General features: G+C 35.2%; 1 protein-coding gene across 20 annotated transcripts in view; it reads left to right on the forward strand.

Annotated features, from left to right (window-relative positions):
* GPHN (gephyrin) overlaps window positions 1-27,221 on the forward strand; it is a 1,227,209-nt gene that overhangs the window by 372,264 nt on the left and 827,724 nt on the right. The gene's annotated exons all lie outside the window — the stretch shown is intronic.

A 27,221-nucleotide genomic window follows, 5' to 3' on the forward strand; every position in this document is an offset into this window, starting at 1 on the left:
TATTACTACTGGTAAAAGTTATCAATTCCTAACCCAGAGAATCCAGTTTATTACTATGTAAAGTTACTGTTTTCTGTGACTGTTTATAATCATCAGTTGATATCTATTAATTGTAGGTAAATACTGATTTAATAAAACTAAACTGCCAAGTTTATTAAAATAACTTGTTCTCACAAGTTAGGAGCTTATATTCCAATTTATAAATAGCTATGTTGATGTGTTGTTGTGAAAAAAAAGAAGCTCAATTCATATTGTTAATCTTTTAATGCTTGGCAACTGGGTATATTTTAATTATTATATTACATTAATGATATACTATTATTATATGAAATTAGTCTACCTAAAACTATGCCTTTGTTGACATAGATGTTGATATCCATCCTCGATTTAATGGTACTTATTTGCTACTATTTTAGCAACTCTTAGATTTAGATCCCCTAAATGAGGACAATTACATCACTTAAGTTAAAGATAGAAGTGTCAACTTAGTCAGAAACTGTTGAAGGATTTAATGAACGTTAATTAATAGTTGATCTCAGAGCAACCTAAAAATAAATAGCAGCTGTATAGTTTCAGGGTTTCATAATTTATAGCCCTTTATGTATCCTGTGTGTAATATGAATATAAAATTAAATGTGTCCATTGACTATTATGGAATATGAGTTGTAATGTTCTTTCTGTTACATAGACAAAGTTTATATCCCATCAGTGGCAGCCACTTGAAGCACAGATACAGGAGATTATGAATGGGTCATTAGTTACTATGTTCTTTTTGCTGTCACGTGTACTGTAACATTTAATTTTAGTAAAAGCAAATAAAGAATTAAAGTACCACGATAGAGACTAAAGCTAAAATTCATGCTGGCCTTTAAGGAACTCCAGTTGATTCTTTCATAGTGTTCTTTTTTTAAACCATTACTTATATTACCTACACCAATGAGGTCAGGGGATCCCGTTTTTCCTATGGAATTAAGTAGTAGTTTTCAAACATAAAAGAACTCTTTCTTGTATACAAGCAATAACATCAGGAAAGAATTAAACTTCATTCTCTTGCTAATTCTTTTGTAATAAAATTTTAATTCGGTAAACATAATAATATGCTTATTTGCCAAGTCCCATATTAAGCATTAGGGATCCTAAGGTTAGAAAGAAAAATAAGAAATGGTCCTCTCCTTAAGGATCCCACAGTTTAAATGGAGAAATTATTTCTTGCAACTGTTAAGATAATTCTTCAAATTGAATGTAGCTTTCTTGATCCAGTATAGAAATATCACTTTTTGTTATATCAAAAGGTTTTCCTGAATTAATTTTTTTCTCCCTTTTGTATCCTCATAATTACCTAGCACTGGACTGCTGAGTGAATGGAAAATTAATTAGCAGGAGCTGATTCTAATTACTTTGGAATGAGTTGTTCATCTTTATCCTGAAGGCTTTGAAAATTAATACATATAAGCAGCATGGGAGCACCTTCTGGCTTTTCTGTCTGTGCATTGCTGATTTAACCAAGAATATATTTATAAACTTTGGAACAGACATAGTAGTTTACATTAGTTACAGAAAAGGGGATATTTCCCTGAATGTTCATTTTTTGTGCTTCTCAAAGCCTTTTTAAAAATTATTATTTTTATAATAGCCATCATTAGATTGGTTCTTCCTTTCTACAGCCTTTCTATTTTGTATGCACTTCTGGCTTTGTACATGCTTCTGCTATGGAACATGTCATAGTATATTGTAATTAATTATTTGCTTGTCTGTATTACCTAGTTAGTAGAAACTTCTTAAAGACAGGAGCTTTATCTTATTCTTTTTTACATCCTCAGCCCCTAAAACAAATTCTGACACATAGTAAGTACTCAAAAAATGTATATTGTTGCAGTTACTATGGATAAATCAGTGTTTTACCATAGTTCTATAGCATGTTTTTTTCAGGTAAATTAATGCATCAAGTTGGTGCCTTACCTTCCTATTTTTATGTCTAGAGAGCAGCATTAGATAAAAACAAATGTTTAAACCATTACGTCTGTTTGAAATGGTTTCCTACTATTTGGACAACTTAATATCCTCCAGATTTTTTATATAAGTAAGTTGGGAGATATTATGAAGTAATGGTTAAGAACATCATCTCTGAAGACAGATTGCTTGTGTTCTATGTTAATGTCTTTTTTGTTTTCATTTTCTCATCTATATAATAAAGATGTTAATAGTACCAAATTTCTTGGATAAAGTGAATTAATCTATGTAAAGCACTTAGAAAACTGACTCGTAGTAACTCTTAAGTGATGACCATGGTTGTTTCGTTAGAGTTTTTGTTTTTAGAGTAGGTCTGCTGGTGAAACCTTTTCGTAGCTTTTCTTCATTAGGAAATGTCTTTATTTCCATATTACTCCTGAAGGATATTTTCACTAGATACAGAAATCTGGGTTGACTGTTCTTTTCTTTCAGCATTAAAAAAAAAAAAGTAAAATAAAATATGATTCCACTCTCTTTTGCTCCATGGTTCCTGAAAAGAAATGAGCAATCAATTCAAATTGCTGTTTCCTTATGTGTAATGGCAAATTTCTCTGGCTGCTTTGAAGATATTTTTTCTGCAGCTTTAGTTTCAGCAATTTGATTATGATGTATCTGGGTGTAGTTTTCTTTTAGATTATCCTTCTGGGTTCAGTGAACTTTATGATTCTGTAAATTTATGTCTTTAACCAAATTTGGGAAATTTCCTTTTTTTTGCTGCTCCTATGACATGAATTTTAGATTTTTTGGTAATGTCTCACAAATCCCTGAGGCTCTGTTAATTTTTAAAATCTTTTTTACTCTGTATTAATTTTAGGTTATTTCTATGATCTATCTTCAAATTAGCTGACTTTTCCCCTCTTTCATCTTCATTCTGCCTTTGAGAATATCTAGTGGTTTTTATTTCAGATATATTTTCAGTTCTAAATTCTCCATTTGGTTTTTTTGTTAATGGTTTCCATTTCTCTACTAAGAACTTGTATTTTTACATTTATTTCAAAAGTATTGCCCTTTATGTCATGGAGAATAGTTATAATAACTGCTTAAAATTATTCTTCGGACAATTTCAATATCTGGCTTACCTTGGGGTTGACATCGGTTGATTTCTTTTCCCATGAGAACTGGTCAAATTTTCCTTGTTCTATGTTGAGAAATTTTGGATTGTATCCTGGACATTTTGAACACTGCATTGTAAGTAAATTATTTAACTCCTGTTAAAATCCTTTGGGGAATTTTAATTAGTTAGTTTTAGCAATTGATCTGATTGGGTTCAGATTGTAAATTCTGTCTCACTTTCTGTGGGTAGTGGCTCAGCCTTTGCTATATTGTTAGTGTCTGCCCAGTACATGAATGATTTAGGAGTTAGTTTGAGACTTGGGCAGTAGTATATACTAGGTTTATGTTTTAAAATCTTTTCTTGTACTTATTTTATACTGTCCCACGTATTCACAGCTCAGGGATGACCCTGGAACTTGGGTCAATTCACATCCAAAATTAGAGAATCCACCTTCTTTAGCTCTCTTCTTTTCAAGAATTTTCCCCTCACTCTCCAGCTTCCAGGGGACCCCATTCCCAGTTACTCTGGCCAGAAGAGGTTTCTTACAGAGTATTAACTCCCTTTGCAATTATGTAGTTGTACACAACTGACCTTTGGGACAAAGAGCAAAAGAAAAGAAAAAAGAGAGAAAGAGATTCCTCTTACCTTAGTTCTTTAGACAATATCGGCTCCTTTTTTTTGTTTCCATTAGCCAAAGAGATAGGTAGGTCTTCTCTCTGAGCTTTGGGTGCTAACACTGTCATTATGGTATTGCAGCTCCACAATTAGGCCTAGCCCCATTAAGAGCTGTTATTCAAGTTCTGACTTCAGTCCCAAATCTGCCTGCTATTATTTACATTAAACGTCATCAGGTAATCACTGTGTACTCTATAAACAATCGGTAGGAGAGAGAAGCTATGGTTACTTTCTCCATCTTGGCTGACACCAAAGAACAAGTGTTCAAACTTTAATACCAGATCCCTGACTTCATATTTACTAGCATTTACTAGCAGTGTTACCTTGGTACTTTACAAGGTTTAGCACATCTTGTTCCAGTGGTTAACTAAACTGCCCACAAAATAGTAGCATTTAACCTCCCTAAATTTATAATTTATTCCCTACTTGTTTTTTTTTAAAAGATCAAATACTCTTTTTTCCCCCTAAATTTCATTAAAAACAACAGACTAACCACTGTGGTTATACACTGAAGAATGATTTGTCATGGATTTTATTCTCAGTTTTGTCATTAATTTGATTTATGATCTCTACTTAGTTTTATAGGGATATTACATAGCTGATAGAAATGTTATGAGGTCCTTTAAAGATTTACTCACACATATGTGTGTGTGTGTGTATGTGTGTGTGTATATATATATATATATATAAAATAAGAAATATCTAATTCATAAAAAGAGAAATTGATTGCCAGTTTTCCATTTTAGTATGAAGAGATTTACCATTGTAATCTTCAGTGACTCATCTTTCAATTCTGTAACTGTAATAAACACATGCACTGCTTTTAGGGAGGAGATAATATTTTCCATTTGCTGCCAAAAATGGTTTTATAACTGATATTGGTTAAAAGAAAAATTTCAGGAAATAACAACACAAAACTTATTTTTTATAGAAATGAATCAAATTATTCTTAGTATTATTTAGATAATATTAAAGTAACATGAGTCATTTAAAGTAACAGTACTATCATCTTAAAGAGTTTCTGTTTTTTTAACCCACACCAAATATACTTAGCTTATAAAAGTCTGTAGGGGAGCATAAGATGGCAGAGTAGTATATATAGGAATCTGTTTCTCCACCTGGACAACCGTTTGAACTGGCAGGATCTCTCTGATATAACTATTTTGGAACTTTGTAGTCTATTCAAAGGCTTATGGCTTACTGGAAAAGACTTGACTAGTAGATTTTGGTTAATTTGGGTCAATTTTAACCTAGTGTGCTACTAGCCAACCATTCTCCAGTGCTCCAGCTAGCAGGTACTAGGGTTTATAGGACAGCTTGTAGAAGACAGAATGGGTAATTAAGGACCTTATCTTCCAAATATTGGGGATCCAGGTTCTATTGTGGATTACTGCTTTAGGTTGTAGAAGTGCAGAGGCAAAGACAGGCTGCCATTGTTTCAACCCACACTGGCTGAAGTATCTTCAAGGGATTTATAAGGACAGTACCTACATTTTCCCCTACATTTTTCTTCTTCTCTTTTGGGACCCAGAAATTACAGGATTAGAAAATTCAAAGGCAGCTACATATATGGGGGAATTTAGAAAGTCACTATGCATGCCCAGAGGAAAAGGCAGGCTGAGAAAAAGAGAAAGGCCTTAAGTTTATACCTCAGGCTTATTTCTTACACAGAACACTTTATAACAATTTAAAAAAAAAAAAAAGCAAACCCTAGGGAAGGGAGAGAAGCTGATTTCTAGAATTACCATATTATAAGATTCAAATATTCAGAGTTCAACAAAAATAAAATGACAAAGCAAAGAAAAAGTATGATCCATTCAAATGAAAACAATAAATTGACAAAAATCCATGAGGAAGATGAAATGGAGAACTTACTAGACAAAGGCTTTAAAACAACTATCTTAAAGATTCTCAAAGAACTAAAGGAATATATTGATAATGCCAAGATAATGATGTGTAAGCAAAAGTAAATATCAATAAATATATTTTAAAAACATAAAAAAAGAATCAATCAGGCAGCTAAAATGACCTATCAGTTTAATATCATCTTTTAAGGCCATGATGGGACTGTCCATAATCAGGCTTCTCTCCACTGTATGCAGGAGGAAGTGGCCACTATTAACAGCCCTCCCTTTTTGTAGCATTAGACAGCAACAGGCCACCCTGAGATTATTTACAGAGAACAGCTATAAAAACACTTGCAAATATATTCAGTCCAGACTAGAAAATACTTTTCCCCCATGAGTGTGAAGATTCATATTGTAGGCTAGTAAATCTCTCTGCACATGTTCATCATGACAATGTACTCAGGAGTTCTAAGTCATGATGAGCATCCTGCAGCAGTTCCAGTGAATTATGGATGAAAAACATGTATCCTTTAAAAAAATAAAGAAGAAAAAAAAAAGAATAATGAAGAAATGAGTTGACAAGTACAATCGCTGAAAAAAAATCATTAGTGGGATTCAAAAGCAGTTTTCAGCAGGCAGAAAAAAGAATCAGCAAACTTAAAGGCAAAACAATTGAAATTAACAAATCTGAGGAACAGAAACAAAAAAGATGGAAGAAAACTGAACAGAGCCTAAGGGACCTATGGAACAACATTAAGCAGACCAGCATACACATTATGGGGATTCAAGATGGATGAGTGAGGGAGAAAGGGGCTTACCAGAGCAAAGACTCATGAACACTAATAAGCGTGGGAAACTGTCAGGTAGGCAAACCTAAACTGTAATTGACAAATTGCTAGAGGTTCAGTGCAGACAACTATGAGAGTTAAAAACTTCAGGGAAACTCAGTCGCTACAATTTTGTGAAAACTGAATGGAACCTAAGGGATCTCTGGAACAAGTCCTTCGGAACAACCAGGTTCTCACAGTAAATATTAGAGGAAAATTCCCTCATGTTTCAGCAGGGAAGAGGAAAGGGAACTATTGTGAAATACACCAGGGTACTCTGTTCTTCTTAATGAGCCCTAACCCGAGGAGAAACTACTTAACCTGAACCTACCCTGCTGGAGTATAATCAAATACTAACTTACCTAGGGGAAGGGAAATACCCAACTTCAGCTCACTGTAGCCATCTTCTCCCATGTAACAGGGGAGGAAAAATTGAGAAAAACTCGTGAAGTTCACTAAAAGCCTCACTAAAAGACTGAGACCTGGCCAGGCATGGTGGCTCACACCTATAATCCCAGTGCTTTGGGAGGCCAAGGCAGGTGGATCATGAAGTCAGGAGATTGAGACCATCCTGGCTAACACAGTGAAACCTCATCTACTGAAAATACAAAAAATTAGCTGGGCATGGTGCCACGTGCCTATAGTCCCAGCTGAGGCAGGAGAATCGCTTGAACCTAGGAGGTGGAGGTTGCAGTGAGCTGAGATCGTGCCACTGCACTCCAGCCTGGCGACAGAGCGAGACTCCATCTCAAAAAATAAAAAGACCAAGACCTAATGATAGGACTATAGAATACTTCCCCACCCCCACACATCCCCACCACATTACTAGAGGCCTGTCTACAGCAGTTCCTTTTACCTGGTATATCATGTTTGGCTATGAAGAAAAATTACAAGGCATATCAAATGGCAAAAAAATACAATTTGAAGAGACAAAGCAAGCATCAGAAGTAGACATGGCAGGAATGTTGGAATTATCAGTCTGGGAATTTAAAAATCATTGTGATTAACATGCTAAGTGCTCCAATGGATGAAACAGATACCATGCAAGAACAGATGGATAATGTAATCAAAGACATGAAACTCCTAAGAACCAAAAATAAATGCTAGAGATCAAAAACACTATAACAGACATAAACAGTGCCTTTGATGGGCTTATTAGTAGAATGGACACAGCTGAGGAAATAAAAAACTCTTGAGCATGAGGATCTCTCACTGCATACCTCCAAAACTGAAAAGCAAAGAGAACAAGTTCTGAGAAACGAAAAAACAGAACAGAATATCAAAGAATTTTGAGACAACTCTAAAACGTAGAACATCTACATAATGCGAATACCCAAAAGAGAAGAACGAGAAAAACAGAAGAAATATTTGAAACAATGACCGAGAATTTCCCCAAATTAATGTCAGATGTCACAAAAACAACTATACCTAGACATACCATCTTCAAACTAGAGAAAATCGAAAATAAAAAATCATGACAGAGTCCAGAGGGGAAAAAAACTCCCTATCTATAGAGGAAGAAAGATAAGAATTACATTTAACTTGTCCTCAGACATGCATTTAAAAAATCAGTCTATGATTTGGGGCATACAGTATGTAAAGATGTAATTTAAGACATCAATAACTAAAAGGGGTGAGGGACAGAGTAGTATAAGAGCAGAGGTTTTGTATGCTGTTGAAGATAAGCTGGTATAAATTCAAATTATTACTTTAGGATGTTAAATGTAATCTTCATAGTGGCCACAAGGAAAATAGGTACAGGATGTACATTAAAAAAATGAGAAAAGAATTAAAATATTTCACTAAAAAAAATTAAGAACAAATGAAGATAGTAATGTAGGAAATAAGGAGTTAAAAAGCTATAAGGCATATGGAAAACCCTTAACAAAATGGTAGAATTCCCTTTTTGTCACTAATTACTTTAAGTGTAAATGGATTAAACTTTCCAATCAAGAGACAGAGATTAATGGACTGGATAGGAAAGCATGATCCAGCTATATGCTGTCTACATGAGACTCATTTTAGATCCAAAGACATAAATAAGTTGAAAGTGAAAGGATAGAAAAAGATAGTCAGGCAAATAGTAACCAAAAGCGAACCATGGTGGCTATAATAATATCAAATAAATTTTAAATCAAAAATGTTTAAATATCTTAAATCCAAAAAGTTTACAAGAGACAAAGGATATATGTTACTAGAAGGTTTAATTCTGCACAGTAATATTATACTTATAAACATTTATGCACTTAATAATAGACTGTCAAAATAGATGAAGCAAAAATGGACAGAATTGAAGAGGAAAATAGACAGCTATGCAAGAATAGTTGAGGAATTCAATATGCCACATTCAATAATGGATAGAACAGCCACACAAAAGGTAAGTAAAGAAATGTAAGAACTTAAACAACACAATAAACCAACTAGATACAACCCACATATATAAAACACTTCACCCAACAACAGTAGCATACACCTTCTGAAGTACACATGGGACATTCTCCAAGATAGAGCACATTAGGCTACAAAATAAGTTTCAATAGGTTTTTTAAAATAGATGCCATAAAAAGTATATTGCAAAATAGTATATTCTTCAAAGCATATTCTCCAAAAAGAGGATGAAGTTCGAAATCAGTGACAGAAGGAAAACCGGAAAATTTACAAATATGTGAAAATTAAACACACTCAAATAGCCAATAAGTTAAAGAAGAAATCATAAGGGAAATTAGAAAATATTTAAAAGTGAATTAAAACAAAAATGCAACATACCAAAACTTCATAGCATGCAGAAAAAGCAGCACTGATATTGCTGTAAGCATTTAAAAAATAATTACATTTTTGAAAACCTCAAAAACAGCAGTCTCATGTATAACTATAAGTTAAGAAACTAGAAAAAGAATAACAACCTAAACCCAAAGCTAGCAGAAAGAAGGAAATAATAAAAATTAGAGCAGAGATAAATGAACTAGAAAATCAAAAAACAATAGAGAAAATCAACTAAGCTAAAGTTGGTTCTTCAAAAAGATCAACAAAATCACAAAATTTTAGCTAGATAGACTAAGAAAAAAAAAGAAACTCAAATTACTAAAATCAGTAATGAAAATGGAGTCATTAGTACCAATTCCACAGAAATAAAAAGGACTAGAAGAGTACAGCGTAACAATTACATGCCAACAAGTTGAATAACCCAGACGAAGTGGACAAACTCCTAGAAACACAAAACCTACTGAGACTGAATCACAAAGAAATAGAAAATCTGAATAGACCTATACCTAGGAAGGAGAATGACTCAGAAATTAACAACCTCTCAGCTGGGTACGGTGGCTCACACCTGTAATCCCAACACTTTGGGAGGCCAAGGTGGATGGATCACTTGAGCACAGCAAAACCAGCCTGGGCAACATGGCAAAACCCTATCTCTACTAAAAATTCAAAAAATTAGCCAGGTGTAGTGGCACACACCTGTAGTCCCAGCTACTCAGGGGTCTGAGGCAGGAGGATCACTTGAGCCCAGGAGGTAGAGGCCACACAGTGAGCCCTGATCATGCGCACTGCGCTCCAGCCTGGGCAACAGAGTGAGACCCTGTCTCAAAAAAAAAAAAAAAAAAAAACCTTTCTATCTTTCTATTTACAAAATACCAGGACCAGTTGGCTTCACTGATGAATTCTACCAAGTATTTCAAGAACAACTGACACTGGTTGTTTCCAAAATCTTTTCCAAAAAATTGAAGAGAAGACAACACTTCCTAACTCATTTTATGAATGGCAGCATTGGTCTCATACCAAAGACAGGAAAAACAAAACAAAACTGCAGGCCAATATCCCTTAATGAATGTTGATGGAAAAATGCTCAAAAAAAACCCCCAGCAAACTGATTGCAGCAACATATTAAAAAGAATTATACAAGGTGACCCTAGAATACAAGGATGGTTCAACATATGAAAATAAATCATTGTAATATACCACAGTAGCAGAATGGAGGGAAAAAAAAACCCATGTGATCATTTGATGATGGGTTTTCAGCATCAATGGGTGCTGAAAAAAAATTTGGAAAAATTCAAGTTTCATGTTAAAAACACTCAACAAACTAGGAAAAGAAGGAAACTACCTTAATGTGAAAAAGGCCTTATGTAAAAAACCCACAGCTCACATCATATTCAGCGGTGAAAGACTGAAAGCTTTTCCTTTAAAATCAGGAACAAGATGGGGATGCCCACTTTTTCCACTTCCATTCAACATAGTATTGGAACTTCTAGCCAGAACACTTAGGCAATAAACAGAAATGAAAGGTATCCAAATTGGAAAGGAAGAAGTAAACCTATCTTTTTTTTTTTGACATGATTATATATGTAGAAAACCCAAGATTCCACACACAAAACCATTAGAACTAATAAATGAATTCAGCAAAGTTGCAGAATACAAAATCAGGCTGCAAAAATCAGTCTTATTTTTATACAATGACAATAAACTATCCAAAATAAAATCAAGAAAATGGAATAGAAACAAGAGCCCAGAAATAAGCCCTTGCATATAGGATGTAATAATTTTCAACAAGGGTGTCAATTCAATGGGGGAGAGAATAGTCTTTTCAACGAATGGTGTTGGGAAAATTGGATATCCACTTGCCAAAGAATGAAGTTGGACCTTTGCCTACTGAATATAAAAATTAATTCAAAATGGATCAAAGACCTGTACACAAGAGCTGAAACTAAAAAACTCTTAGAAAAAAACATAGGGGGACAGCTTCATGACATTAGATTTGGCAGTCATTTCTTGGATATGACACCAAAAGCATAGGCAGCAAACAAAAAACTAGATAATTTGGACTTTATCGATGTTGAAAATCTTTGTACATTGAACAAAGTAAAAGGGCAACCCATGGAATCAAGAAAATATTCACAATCACATATCTGGCAAGGTATTAATATTCTATATATATATATTTTTTTTAATTCCTACAAGTCAATAAAGAAAATGCTATTTAAAAACAGGCAGAAGACTCAAATAGATATTTCTCCAAAGAAGATACACAAATGACTGATAACATGAAAAGATCCTCAGCATCAATAGTCATTAGGGAAATGCAAATCAGAACCACAGTGATATACAACTTCACACCCATTACGTTGGCTGTTATCAAAAAAATAATAATAAATAAGTGGTGGCAGAATGTTTAGAAACATTGTGTATTGCTGGTGAGGATGTAAAACTGTGCAACTGCTATGGGAAACTATGGCATATCCTCAAGAAATTAAGCATAGAATTATATGACCCAGGAACTCCACTTCCAAGTTACATATCCAAAAGAATTGAAAGCAGGGGCTGGGTGTGGTGGTTTAAACCTGTAATCCCAACACTTTGGGAGGCTGAGACAACAGGATCACTTGAGGCCAAGAGTTTGAGACCAGCCTGAGCAAAATAGACCCTGTCTCTACAAAACTTGTTTAAAAAAATTAGCCAGTCCTGGTGACACACACCTATAATCCTAGCTACTCAGGAGGATGAGGGAGGAGTATCACTTGAGCCCCGGAATTCGAGGTTACAGTGAGCTGTGATCATGCCACTGCATTCCAGTCTGGGCAACAGAGTGAGACTGTCTCTTAAAGAATTGAAAGCAGGGACTGTAATAGATATTTGCACGCCAATATTCATAACATCATTATTCACCTTACCCAAAAGTTGGAAGCAACCCAGATGTCCATTGATTGATGAATGCATAAACAAAATGGGTTAAATACATGGAATGAAATATTATTCAGCCTTAAAAATTATTGTTAATTCTAACACTTGCTACAACATAAATGAATCTTGAAAACATTGTGCTAAATGAAATAAGCCAGATTATATAAGGACAAATGTGTGATTCCACTTACATGAAGTATCTAGAATAACCAAATGCATAAAGAAAATAGAACAGTGCTTATGAGTGGATAGCGAGAAGAGAATGGAGAGTTTTTGTTTGGGATGATGAAAAAGTTCTGGAGATGGACAGTGGTGATGGTTGCACAATAATGTGAATGTACTTAATGCCACTGAATTGTATACTTAAAATTAGTTAGAATGGTAAAGGTTATGTTATGTATATTTTACCAGAGTTCCTTTTATAGCTATAGGACAGGAAATGCAACATACATAAAATGTACATTTTCTTGAAACATTTCTGCAGTGTTTCAGGCCCAACTTCCAGACTCCAGTATGACAGGAGGTATACTGGGTTTCAAAAGACAAGTGACACAGATGGTGTGAGGACCACCTCAACACAGGAGAGCTGACACCTTTCTCCTTCTCTCACCCAACTTTTATATTTTCCTAAATATCATAGCTTCATAACAGATTTGTGATAGCTGGACTTATTTGTTATAACTCATAAAATAGGAACTCTGGGCAATAGGAACAGCTCCAGTCTACAGCTCCCAGCGTGAGTAACGCAGAAGACAGGTGATTTCTGCATTTCCAACTGAGGTACCGGGTTCATCTCACTGGGGCTCATCGGACAGTGGGGGCAGGACAGTGGTTGCAGCCCACTGAGTGTGAGCTGAAGCAGGGTGAGGCATTGCTATTTATGACAAACCCACAGCCAGTATCATACTGAATGGGCAAAAACTGGAAGCATTCCCTTTGAAAACTGGCACAAGACAGGGATGCCCTCTCTCACCACTGCTATTCAACATAGTGTTGGAAATTCTGGCCAGGGCAATCAGGCAAGAGAAAGAAATAAAGGGTATTCAATTAGGAAAAGAGGAAGTCAAATTGTCCCTGTTTGCACATGACATGATTGTATGTTTAGAAAACCCCATCGTCTCAGCCTAAAATCTCCTTAAGCTAATAAGCAACTTCAGCAAAGTCTTAGGATACAAAATCAATGTGCAAAAATCACAAGCATTCTTATACACCAATAACAGACAAACAGAGAGCCAAATCATGAGTGAACTCCCATTCACAAATGCTTCAAAGAGAATAAAATACCTAGGAATCCAACTTACAAGGGATGTGGAGGACCTCTTCAAGGAGAACTACAAATTACTGCTCAACAAAATAAAAGAGGATACAAACAAATGGAAGAACATTCCATGCTCATGGATAGGAAGAATCAATATCGTGAAAATGGCCATACTGCCCAAGGTAATTTATAGATTTAATGCCATCCCCATCAAGCTACCAATGACTTTCTTCACAGAATTGGAAAAAACTACTTTAAGGTTCATATGGAACCAAAAAACAGCCCACATTGCCAAGACAATCCTCAGCCAAATCCTAAGCTGGAGGCCTCACACTACCAGACTTCAAACTATACTACAAGGCTACAGTAACCAAAACAGCATGGTACTGGTACCAAAACAGAGATATAGACCACTGGAACAGAACACAGCCCTCAGAAATAATACCACACATCTACCACTATCTGATCCTGGGCAAACCTGACAAAAACAAGCAATGGGGAAAGGATTCCCTATTTAATAAATGGTGCTGGGAAAACTGGCTAGCCATATGTAGTAAGCTGAAACTGGATCCCTTCCTTACACATTATACAAAAATTAATTCAAGATGGATTAAAGACTTAAATGTAAGACCTAAAACCATAAAAACCCTAGAAGAAAACCTAGGCAATACCATTCAGGACATAGGCATGGGCAAAGACTTCATGTCTAAAACACCAAAAGCAATGGCAACATAAGCAAAATTGACAAATGGGATCTAATTAAACTAAAGAGCTTCTGCAAAGCAAAAGAAACTACCATCAGAGTGAATAGGCAGCCTACAGAATGGGAGAAAATTTTTGCAATCTACTCATCTGACAAAGGGCTAATATCCAGAATCTACAAAGCACTCAAACAAATTTGCAAGAAAAAAACAACCCCATCAACAAGTGGGCGAAGGATATGAACAGACACTTCTCAAAAGAAGACATTTATGCAGCCAACAGACACATGAAAAAATGCTCGTCATCACTGGCCATCAGAGAAATGCAAATCAAAACCACAATGAGATACCATCTCACACCAGTTAGAATGGCGATCATTAAAAAGTCAGGAAACAACAGGTGCTGAAGAGGACATGGAGAAATAGGAACACTTTTACACTGTTGGTGGGACTGTAAACTAGTTCAACCACTGTGGAAGACAGTGTGTCGATTCCTCAAGGATCTAGAACTAGAAATACCATTTGACCCAGCCATCCCATTACTGGGTATATACCCAAAGGATTATAAATCATGCTGCTATAAAGGCACATGCACACATATGTTTATTGCGGCACTATTCACAATAGCAAAGACTTGGAACCAACCCAAATGTCCATCAGTGATAGACTGGATTAAGAAAATGTGGCACATATACACCATGGAATACCATGCAGCCATAAGAAAGGATGAGTTCATGTCCTTTGTAGGGACGTGGATGAAGCTGGAAACCAACATTCTCATCAGACTATCGCAAAAACAAAAAACCAGACACCGCATGTTCTCACTCATAGGTGGGAATTGAACAGTGAGAACACTTGGACACAGGAAAGGGAACGTCACACACCGGGGCCTGTTGTGGGATGCGGGGAGCGGGGAGGGAAAGCATTAGGAGATATACCTAATGTAAATGACGAGTTAATGGGTGCAGCAAACCAACATGGCACATGTATACATATGTAACAAACCTGCACATTGTGCACATGTACCCTAGAGCTTAAAGTATAATTTTAAAAAATATGTTTATTTTAAATAAAAAATGGAAATAATATTTTTGAAGTAAAATGATTTATTGATGAAAAATACTTGAAACAGAAGATACTAGAATAATACTTTCAATGTGCTGAAAGAAAATAACATTTAATCAAGAATTTTACACTCAGCAAAGTTACCATTCAAGAATGGGGGAGGATGAAATGTCATTTTCCTACAAACAGAAATGGGAACATTTTATCACCAAAAGAACCTCACGTAAAGAATTTTAAAGATATACTCTGGCAGAAGAAAAATCATCTCAGATGGAGAGTTGAGGATACAGGAGGGAAAAGAGAGCAAAGATATTGGTAAATATCTGAACAAATCTTTTTTAAAAAATTGACTATTGTCCTGGTCCATTCTGCTGCTGTAACAAAATACCTTAGACTGGGTAATTTATAAACAACAGAAATTTATTGCTTACAGTTCTGGGGGCTGGGAAGTCCACAATCAAGGTGCCCGCAGATTCAGCGTCTGGTGAATGCTTCAAAGATGGCCCTTTCTTGCTGCATCTTCACGTGGTAGAAGGGGCAAACTAGCTCCTGACGGCTTCTTTTATAAGGGCACTAATACCACTCATGAGGACAGAGTTAATCACCTCCCAAAGTCCTCAACACTTTATACTATTGCACTGGGGATTAGATATCAGCATATGAATTTGGGGTAAACAAAAACATTTAGACAATGGTAACTATATAAAACGATAAAAATAATGTCTCAATTATGGGAAGAAAAAATATGTTAGAATTCTTGAAAACAGCATGTAATTTGAGATACTGTGATTATAGTTAAGTATTCTAACAGGCCAGGCACAGTGGCTCACCCCTGTAATCCCAGCACTTTGGGAGGCTGAGGTGGGCTGATCACTTGAGTCCAGAAGTTCGAGACAAGCCTGGGCAATATGGCAAAACTCTCTTTACAAAAAGATACAAAAATTAGACCAGCATGATAGCACGTGCCTGTAGCTACTCGGGAAACTGAAGTGAAAGAATCACCTGAGCCTAGGAGGTCAAGGCTGCAGTGAGCCATGGTTGTGCCACTGCACTCGCCTGGGGTACAGAGTGAGACCCTCTCTTAAAAAAAATTTAGTCCTATTTTCTAGGAAGATATTAAATATTGATTATAGTTTTTTAAAGTTAAGTATGCATATTAAACTTATTAGGGTAATCACTAAAAGGATGGACGGAGTATACAACTTCCAGAAATAGAGGGAAGAAATTAATGAGGAAAATACTTAAAGTAAGATAAGAAAGGGAGAAAAAAACAAACAAACAAAACAAAACAAAAAAAAACAAAGACAAGTAGAAGGCATATGTATTGGTTAAAAAAAGTTATAATACGAATTCCCAGAACATCTTCCACTTAAAATTTTCCCATAGAACACTGCTTAGTTTCTCATATTCAAACTTGATAAACATGTATACCTTCATGTTTATCTGAAAAACAGCTTCAGCTGATACATATGAAAATTTTATATTTATATCTGAAAAATTCAGTAAATTTTCAAAAAAATTTTATTAAACTTTTAAGATGGTAATATAATTGTAGATTGGCATGCAGTATAAGGAATGATCCAGAGAAGTCCTGTGTACCCTTTACTAGTTTTTTCCAGTGGTAACATCTTACAAAACTATAGTACAAAATTACAGTTGGATGTTGACATTGATAACATCATGACACAACAATTTGTTCATTCTTTCATTTGTTCATGGGTACTTAGGTTGACTTCATATTTTGCCTGTTGTGAATAGTGCTGCACTAAATGTGGGAGTGCAGATGTGTTTTTGATATACTGATTTCCTTTCTTTTAGATATATACCCAGTAGTGCAATTGCTGGATCATATGATAATTCTATTTCTAGTTTTATGAGGAAATTTCATACTGCTCTCCATAGTGGCTGTACTATTGCTTTTCTATTGTCATTGCCCTTTTATTGCCACACCACCTCTCTGTCACCCAGCCCCCCTTTCCTAAACTCTGGCAACCACTAATCTATTTTCTAGTTCAATATTTTGCCATTTCAAGAATGAATATAATTAGAACCATACAGTATGTAGCCTTTTGGGATTGGTTTCTTCCATTAAGCATAATTTCCTGGAGATTCGACTAAATTGTTACATGGATCAATAATTCCTTACATTTTATTGTTGAGTAGTATTCCATACTATATATGCACTACAGTTTGTTCAACCATTTTCTGTTGAAGGACATCTGGGTTGTTTACAGTTTGTAATTATGATGAACATTACACCAAACGATGCGGTATCTAGGTTCCATGGCAGTTGCAGGTTTTCTGTTTAAATGAACTGTCAAATTATTATCCAGAGCAACTGTATCATTTTACAATCACACCAACAATATATGAGTGTGTCTCCACACCTTGCCAGTATTTGGAGTTGTCACTATTTTTATTTTAGCCATTTTGATAGTTTTGTAAATAGTTTTAATTTGCATTTCCCTAATGACTAGTAATTTTGAGCATCTGTTCAGGTGTTTTGCCTATTGTCTGACTGTGTTTTTTAGTTTTTTTATCCCTGATTTTTGAGAGTTTTTATGTGTTCTAGAAACCTGTCCTTCGTCAGATATGTGGATTGCAATTGTTTTCTCCCAGTCAATACATTGTCTTTTTTCCTCTTCACAGTGTCATTCACAGAGCAAAACTACTTAATTTCCATGAGGTCCAATTTATCATCTTTTTCTTTTAGCAGTTGTGTTTTTTTGATGTAAAGTCTAAGCACCCTTCACCTAGGCAAAGGTCCAAAGACTTTCTCCTGTGTTTTTTTCTAAAACTTTTATAATTTTACATTTTACCTTTAAATCCATTTGAGTTGATTTTTTTCTAAGGTGTGAGTTTAGGTTGAGGTGTTTTTTCGTTTGGTTGGTTGGTTGGTTTTTGTGTATGAACGACCACTTGCTCCAGTGCTACTTGTTTAAAAAAAAAAAAAAAAAAAAAAAAAGCTACCTTTCCTCTGTTGAATGGCTTTTGCACCTTTGTTGAAAATTAATCTGGCCTATTATTAGTTTAGTTCTAGTTCTGGTTTCTCTGTTCTGTTCTATATGTCTGTCCCTCTGTCAGTACCACATAATCTTTATCATTGTAGCTAAACAATAAGTCTTGAAATTGCATAGACAGATTCCTCCCACTTTAGTTGTCTTTTTCAAAATTTTTAGCTATTTTGGTCCCTTTTGTTTTCCATGTAAATTTTAGAATAAGTTTGTCTATATCTACAAAAAAATTGCTCAGATTTTTATAGGAATTACATTAAATCTGGATGTAAATTTGGGTGGAAGTGACATCTTTTCCATGTTGAGCCTCCATGAACACATTATGTCTCTTCCTTTAGATTGTCTTTGATTTCTTTTATTGCAGTTTTCAGTATAAAAAGTCTGAACATGTTTCGTTAGATTTACACTTAAGTATTTAATTGTGTTTTCAGTTATTGTAAATGGTGTTTTATTATTAATTTAGGTGTCCACCTCATGTTCATTGCTAATATATATAGAAATACAATTAATTCTTGGATGTTGATTTTATATTCTACAGCCTTGCTTAATTGCTAGTACTATTAATTCTAGGAGGGCTTTTTCTTTTTTTTTTTTTTGTTTTTTGTTTTGTTTGTTGTTTGTTTTGTTTTATTCTTTGGGATTTTCTGTATAGACAATCACATCATCTGCAAATAGGGGTAGTTTTACTTCATTCTTTGTGATTTATATGCCTTTTATTCTTTTTCTGCCTGTTGTCCTAGCTAAAACTTCCAGTGCTATTTTGAATAGCCATGGTGAAAATGGATATCCTTGCTCTTTTCCTGATCTTGGGGAGAAAGCACTCAATGTTTCACTATTAAGTATGTTAGTTGTACATTTCTTATAAAAGCTCTTTTTCAAATTAAAGAAGTCCATCCCTTAATTTCTACATTTTTTGAGAGTTTTTATCATGGATCAGTGTTTGATTTTGTCCGGTGAATTTCCTGTGTTAATTGATATGATTGCATGATCTACTTTTTCTTCTTAGATTGTTGATATGATGCATATGTTGATTTATTTTCAAATATTGAGCTGGTCTTGAATTCTTGGAGTAAACCCACTTGGTCCTAGTATATAGTTCTTTTTACTTATTCCTGACTTCTATTTGCTAATATTTTAGTAAGGATTTTTATATCTATATTCATAAGAGATACTGGTCTATATTTTTCTTTTTTATACTATCTTCATCTGATTTTGGTATCAAGTTAATACTGGCTTCATAAAATGAGTTGTGATATTCCCTCCACTTTTACTCTCTGGAAGAGTTTATGTAAAATGTATATTAATTTTTCTTTAAACATTTCAGAGAATTCACTAGTGGAACCATCTGTCCTAGAGCTTTATTTTTCTAGAGTTTTTTTACTATAAATTGAATTTTCTTAAAAGTTACAGGGCTATTTATCTATTTTATATATGGTTAATGTAGTATTTTATGCTTTTTGAGAAATTTGTCCATCTCATCTAAGTTGTCTAATTTATGTATATAGATTTGCTCCTAGTATTCTCTTATTGTTATTTTCTCGTCTTGAGAGTCTGTATTAATACGCCTGTTTCATTCCTGATATTGGTAATTTCCATCTTTTTTTCAGTCTTGCTTAAGATATTTCCATTTTATTTATCTTTTCAAAGAACAAGCTTTTTGTTTCATTGACTATCTCTGTTTTTCTGTTTTAAATTTCACTGTTATCTGCTCTTTATTATTTCATTCCTTCTCCTTGTTTGGGGTTCATTTTGCTCTTTATCTAGTTCTTGAGCTGGAAGCTTGTTATTGATTTGAGACTTTTCTAATGTAAACTTTAGGAGCACTGATTTAGGTGCATTCCATGAATTTGATATGTTATATTTGCATTTTTATTCATCTTAATGTATCTTTTTATTTTTTGAGATTTTTTTCTTTTTTTTTTAATCTATCTAACACTAGGTCTTATTTCTTCTATCAAACTTCATATGTGCCCATCAATCAACTTCTCATCTTTCCCTCCTCCCCACTACCCTTCCTGGCCCCTGGTAACAACCAATCTACTACCTATCCTCATGAGATTCACTTTTTTAGCCCCCACATTATGAGGGAGAACTTGCGACATTCTTCCTTCTGTGCTTGCCTTGTTTCATTTAACATAATGACTTTTAGTTCCATCCATGTTCCTGCAAATGATAGGATTTCATTTTTTAATCAGTGAATAATGTTCCATTGTATATAGATACTGCATTTTCTTTATCCATTTGTATGTTCACTGGTACTTAGGTTGAATCCATATTTTAGCCATTATGAATAGTGCTGCAGTAAATGTGAGAGTGCAGATGTCTTTTCAATATGTTGATTTCCCTTCTTTTGGATATATATCCAGCAGTGCAATTGCTGGATCGTATGGTAATTCTATTTCTAGTTTTATGAGGAAATTCCATACTGCTCTCCATAGTGGCTCTACTAATTTACATTTCCACCAACAGCGTACAAATGTTTCCTGTTTTCCAAATCCTTACCAGCATGTGTTACTGCCTGTCTTTTTGATAAAAAGCCATTTTAACTGGAGTAAAATGATATCTAATTGTAGTTTTGGTTTGCATCTATCTGATGATTAGTGGTGTTGGCCATTTGAATGCCTTCTTTGGGAAATGTCTATTCATATAGTTTGCTCATTTTTTAATTGAATTATTTGTTGTTTTTGTTGTTGTTGTTTTCTGTCAAGCTATCTGAGCTCCTTAGATAGTCTAGTTATTAATCCTTTGTCAGACAGGTAGTTTGAAATGTTTTCTTCCATTCTGTGGGTTGTCTCTTTGCTTTCCTGATTGTGTCCTTTGCTGTGCAGAAGCTTTTTAGTTTTGTATAACCCCATTTGTCTATTTTTGCTTTTGTTGCTTGTGGTTTTGAAGTCTTAGACAAAAATCTTTGCCTGGAAAGATGTCCTGGAGCATTTCCTCAGTGTTTTCTTCTAGTAGTTTCATGTTTCAGGTCTTAGATTTAAGTCTTTATTTTGATTTGATTTTTGTGTATGGTAAAATATAGGGGTCTAATTTCATACCTCTGCAAGTGGATATCCAGTTTTCTCCACATCATTAATTGAAAAGACAGGTCTTTCCCCATTGTTTGTTTTTGGCACCTTTGTGAAACATGACTTGGTTATAAATACATGAATTTATATTTGAGTTCCTTATCTTCCCCATTGGTCTCGCATATCTGTTTGGTGTCAGTACCATGTTGATTTGGTTACTATAGCTTTGTAGTATATTTTGGAGTCAGGTCATGTGATGTGATACCTCCAGCTTTGATTTTTTTGCTCAAGATTGCTTTGGATATTAGGCTCTTTTGTGGTTCCATATGAATTTTAGGATTGTTTTTATATTTCTGTGGAAAATGTCATTGATATTTTGATAGAGATTCCACTGAATGTCTAGATTACATTGGGTACTATGGTCATTTTAACAATATTCTTCCTATCATGAGCATAGAATATATTTCCATTTTTTTATGTGCTCTTCAGTTTCTTTCATCAATGTTTTATGGTTCTTCTTGTATAGGTCTTTCACTTCTTTGGTTGAATTGATTCCTAGTTATTTTATATCTTTGGAGATATTATAAATGGGGTTGCTTTCTTGATTTCTTTTTTGGATTGTTCACTATTGGTATATAGAAATGCTACTGCTTTTTGTATGTTGATTTTGTGTCCTGTAACTATATTGAATTTGTTTATCAATTCCAACAGTGTTTTAGTGGAGTCTCCAGATTTTTCTAACTATAAGGTCATGTCATCTGCAAACAAGTCTACTTTCACTTCTTCTCTTCCAGTTTGAATGCCCTTTGTTTCTTTCTCATGCCTAATTGCTCTGGCCAGGACTTCCATTTTGAAAAAAAGTAGTGACAGTGAAGATCCTTGTTTTGTTCCAGATCTTAGAGGAAAGGCGTTCAATTTTTTTCCTTTTCAGTATGCTAGTAACTGTGGGTTTGTCATATATGGTCTTTATTATGTTGAGGTATGTTCCTTCTATACTCAGTTTGAATGAGGGTTTTTATCATAAAAGCATGTTGAGCTTCATTAAATGTTTTTACAGCATATATTGAAATAATCATAGGGTCTTTATTCTTGGTTCTATTAATGTAGCATATCACATTTATTGATTTGCATATGTTGAACCATCCTTGGGATGAATCCCACCTGATCATGGAGAATGATCTGTTCAATGTGTTGTTGAACTTGGTTTACTGACATTTTCTTGAGAATTTTTGCATTTGTATTCATTGGGGAGGGTGGCCTGGGTTTCTCTTTTTGTTTTATCCTTTTTGGTTTTGGTGTCAGGGTAATGCTGGCCGCATAGAATGACTTTGAAAGTATTCCCTCCTCTTCAATTTTTTTTAGAAAGTTTGATTAGAATTGCTATTATTTCCAAACTACCATCAGAGATACTATAAATACCTCTACACAAATAAACTAGAAAATCTAGAAGAAATGGATAAATTCCTGGACACATACACCCTCCCAAGACTAAACCAGGAAGAAGAAAAGAATGTGTATTCTGCAGCAGTTGGGTGAAATGATTTGTAAATATCAGTTAGGCATATTAGGTCTGGTGTATAGTTTAATTTGGATGGTTCTTTGTTGATTTTCTGTTTAGATGACCTGTTCACTACAGAGAGTGGAGTATTACAGTCCCCTACTATTATTGTATTGCAGTTATCCCTTAAGATCTATTAATGTTTGCTTTATATACTTGGCAGCTCCAGTGGTGGGTGCACAGATATTTATAATTGTTATATCATTTTGCTGAATTGACCTCTTTATCATTATATAATCTCCTCCTTTGTCTATTTTTACAGTTGTTTACAGTTATGGCTACAGTTGTTACAGTTACAGTTGTTACAGTTACAGTTGTTGATTTGTAGTCCATTTTATCTAAGTATAACTACTCCTGCTCTGTTTTGGCTCCCAGTTGCATGGAATATCACTTTTCACCCCTTCACTTACAGTCTATATGTGTCTTTAGAGACGAAGTGGATTTCCTGTAGGTAACACATAGTTGAGTCTTATTTCTTTATCCATTCAGGCACTCTATGTCTTTGCCTTGGAGAAGTGAGTTAATTTACATTAAATGTTATTATTGATAAGTAAGGACTTACTCCTGCCATTTGTCATTTGTTTTCTGGTTGTTTTATAACTCCTTTCTCCCTTTTTTACTTTCTTCATATGTGGTTTCAGTGATTTTCTCTGGTAGTATCTTTTAATTTGTTGCTTTTTATTTTTAGTTAATCTGTTGTAGGTATTTGCATTGTGGTTACCATGACGCTTATAAAAAATACCTTATAACAAGTTATTTTAAAAAGATGACAACTTATCTTAGATCACAGAAATGGGAACAGAAACTGAAAAAATGGGAAAAATCTTTTACACTTTACTTCCATCTTCCCCACATTTAGACTCGTATTGTCTCAATTTGCATATTTTATATTACCTATCTCTTAACAGGTTGTTGTAGCTCCTATTGTTTGTGATATATTTATCTATTCGCCTTCATACTGGAGTTATGATTGTGTGTCCAGAGTTGGTTCCTTCCGGTGGGTTCGTGGTCTCGCTGACTTCAAGAATGAAGCCGCGGACCTTTGCAGTGAGTGTTACAGCTCTTAAAGGTGGCGTGGACCAAAAGAGTGAGCAGCAGCAAGATTTATTGTGAAGAGTATAAGAACAAACCTTCCACAGGGTGGAAGGGGAATCAAGCAGGTTGCCCCTGCTGACTAGGGTTGGCCAGCTTTTATTCCCTTATTTGTCCCCGCCCATGTCCTGCTGATTGGTCCATTTTACAGTGTGCTGATTTGTCCATTTTACAGAGGGCTGATTGGTCCATTTTACAAATCTCTAGCTAGCCACAGAGCGGTGATTGGTGCGTTTTTACAGAGCACTGATTGGTGTATTTTACAAACCTCTAGCTAGCTGTAGAGCACTGATTGGTACGTTTTACAATTCTAGCTACAGAGTACTGACTGGTGCATTTTACAATCCTCTTGTAAGACATAAAAGTTCTCCAAGTCCCTGGTTGACCCAGGAAGTCCAGCTGGCTTCACCTCTCAATGCCCCCTTTAGACAGGACACCCCAACTGCTGTTGGGAATTGGGCGATGCTTGCTCTAGCTACTTCCTGCTGGAAAGGGGCACAGAAGGGGCCCTACAGTGGTAGTGTCCTCCAGAGGGGAACTCTCTAGGCCAGCCAAAGGGTCAGTGGGTTGGTCCAGGGGTCCTCGGTAGAAGTTGTTCATTGAGCTCATTTGGGGTTCCATTGGTAAGACATCTTACTGCTTTTAGGATTCTGTCTTCATTCATGACCTCTGATTGATTATTGTATGCCTTGGAGTAGTCTTATTTGGGTCCTATCCATTTGGTGTTCTCTGACCTTCCTGTACCTGAATATTTATATCCTTGTGAAGATTTGGAAAGTTCTATTATTATTTCTTTGAATAAGCTTTCTACCCCTTGATCTTCCTCAACTCCCTCTTGAACATCAATAAAATAATTTCTAGATTTGTTGTTTTGATGTGATTTTCTGTATCTTACCGGTGATCTTCATTGCTCTTCATGCTTTTTGCTTTTTTCTTCTCTGTGTATTTTCAAATAGCCTATCTTTGAGCTCACTGACTCTTTCCTCTGCTTGATCCATTCTACTGTTGAGAGCTTCTAACGAACTTTTCAGTTGAACAAATATATATCTCAGTTCCAAGGTTAATGTTTGGTTTTTAATTATTTCAATCTGTTCATTAAATTTTTATCATAAATTTTGAATTGCTTTTCTGTGTTACCTTGGAGATCACTGTGTTTTCTTAAAACTACTATTTTGAGCTCTTGGTTAGGGAGCTCACATATTGCTGTTTCATTAGGGCCAGTTACTGTTTCATTGCTCTGTCCACTTGGGAAGATCATGGTTTCCTGTTTACTATTGTTTCTTTTGGATGTATGTACATGTCTTTGCATTGGAGGATTAGTTATATTTATTCCAGTGTTCTGTCTGGCTTGTTTCGCTTTTTTGTGTTTGTTTTTTATAATCTCAACTTTTAGATTCAGGGGTACATGTACAGGTTTGTTACATGGGTATATCACATAATGCTGAGGTTTGTGGTACAAATGATCCCATCACCCAGGTAATGAGCGTAGTATACAAAAGGTTGTTTTTCAGCCCTTGCCCCGCTCCCTCTCTCATACCTTGGTAGTCCCCAGTGTCTATTGTTCCCATCTTTATGTCCATGTGTACCAAATGTTTAGCTCCCACTTACAAGTGAGAACATTCAGTATGTGGTTTTCTGTTCCTGCATGAATTTGCTTATGATAATGGCCTCCAGGTACGTCCATGTTGCTGCAGAGGACATGATTTAATTCCTTTTATGGCTGTATAGTATTCCATGGTGTGTATGTATCATGTTTTCTTTATTCAATTCAGGATATATTTGATTCGAGGCTTTTTTTTTTTTTTTTACCACTTCCCCATTTTCAGTCCTAGGTGACACATTATCCCCAGGTTCACCTAAGCTCTAGTAAATGATCAGAATGCTACCCTTCTCGGGTGAGGGAGGTGAAACATGGTATATCCTTCCAGTGTAGGAAAGCTAAGCCAGTGTTTCGTGCCCAGGGAACCTGTGGGATGCACCTCCTACAGCGTGGTACTGCTGAACAGCCATCATGATTTAGCATCTCCTTTGGCTGAGTTTATGAGCAGAGTTTCCAGGGTCAGAGACTATAATCCCACCTCCTCCCTTTGTCTCTGCCTATCCTCAGGTATATTTGTTCCTTCAGACACTTGTGATGCTTCCCATGGGTTAAGGCAGGGACAGGTCTACTGCCAGGGCATGCAAAATGATGGAAAGCTGGCTGTTCACCTTGATCTCACTTTTTCCAATGTTAAAACAGTAAGTTAGAGGAAAATTTTCTACATGCTTCGTGCAAGGCAGGATGGGGAGGAGGAACATCATGGATGTGGAAATCTGATATTCTTACTGTCTGTTCAGAGTTTTTTCACTTCTTTCTGGCCCCAGGGCCACATCTCATCTTCATATTTGAGTTCTGGGATATTTCTAGTGATATTCTCTGTGCTGTTCATTTGCTTTTGGTTTCCTGTTGAGAGGAGTGAAGTCAGCCTGCTCGTACATTGCCATTTTGAAACCAGAAGTCTCTGGTTTCTTGAGATTTCCTCTTTGATCCATAGATTATTCAGAAGTTTATGGTTTAGTTTCCAAGTGTATAGGAATTTTCCTGTTATCTTTCTGTTACTGATTTCAACTTTGCTTCCACTGTGGTCAGAGAAGTTACTCTATAATTTCAATTCTTTTAAATTTGTTTAGGTTTATTTTTATGGTCACAGATATGGTCTATATTGGTAAAAACAATGTGTATTATTCTGTCAGCTGGAGTGTTCTACAAATATCAATTCGATCCTGTTGATTTGTGTTGCTGAGTTCTTCTATATGCTTGCTAGTTGTCTGTCTAGTCATTCTATCATATACCATTAAAGTGACTTGTATCCAAAATATACAGAGAACTTCTAGATATTTAACCAATTTATGTGAAAACTTACATCCACACAAAAATCCACATGCAAATGTTTTTAACAGCCTTATTCGTAATTGCCAAAAGTTGGAATCAACCAAGATTTACTTCAATAGGTAAATGGATAAGCAAATTATGCTGCATCCATACAATGGACTCTTATTCAATAATAAAAGGAAATGAGCCATCAAGCAACCAAAAAAGACATCCTTACATGCATATTGCTGAGTAAAAGAAGCCAGTGTGAAAAGAATACATATTATATGGTTCTAACTTTATGACATTGTAGTAAAAGTAAAATTATAAGAACAGTAAAATGATCAGTGTTTGCCCAGAGTTTTTGAAAAGAAAGATATAGGTGAATGGATAAAGCTGAACAGATTTTTTAGAGCAGTAACACTATTTGATATGAAGTAGAAATACGGAAACATGACATTATACATTTGTCAAAACTCATAGAACTTTATCACAAGGAAGGCTTAATATATGCAAATTGCATTTGATGGATCCCAGAAAGCAATGAGGACTCTGCCAAGAGAATTTAAATGCATTACA

The sequence above is a fragment of the Homo sapiens genome, chromosome 14 (genome assembly GCF_000001405.40).
Source record: "Homo sapiens chromosome 14, GRCh38.p14 Primary Assembly".
Lineage (NCBI taxonomy): Eukaryota > Metazoa > Chordata > Mammalia > Primates > Hominidae > Homo > Homo sapiens.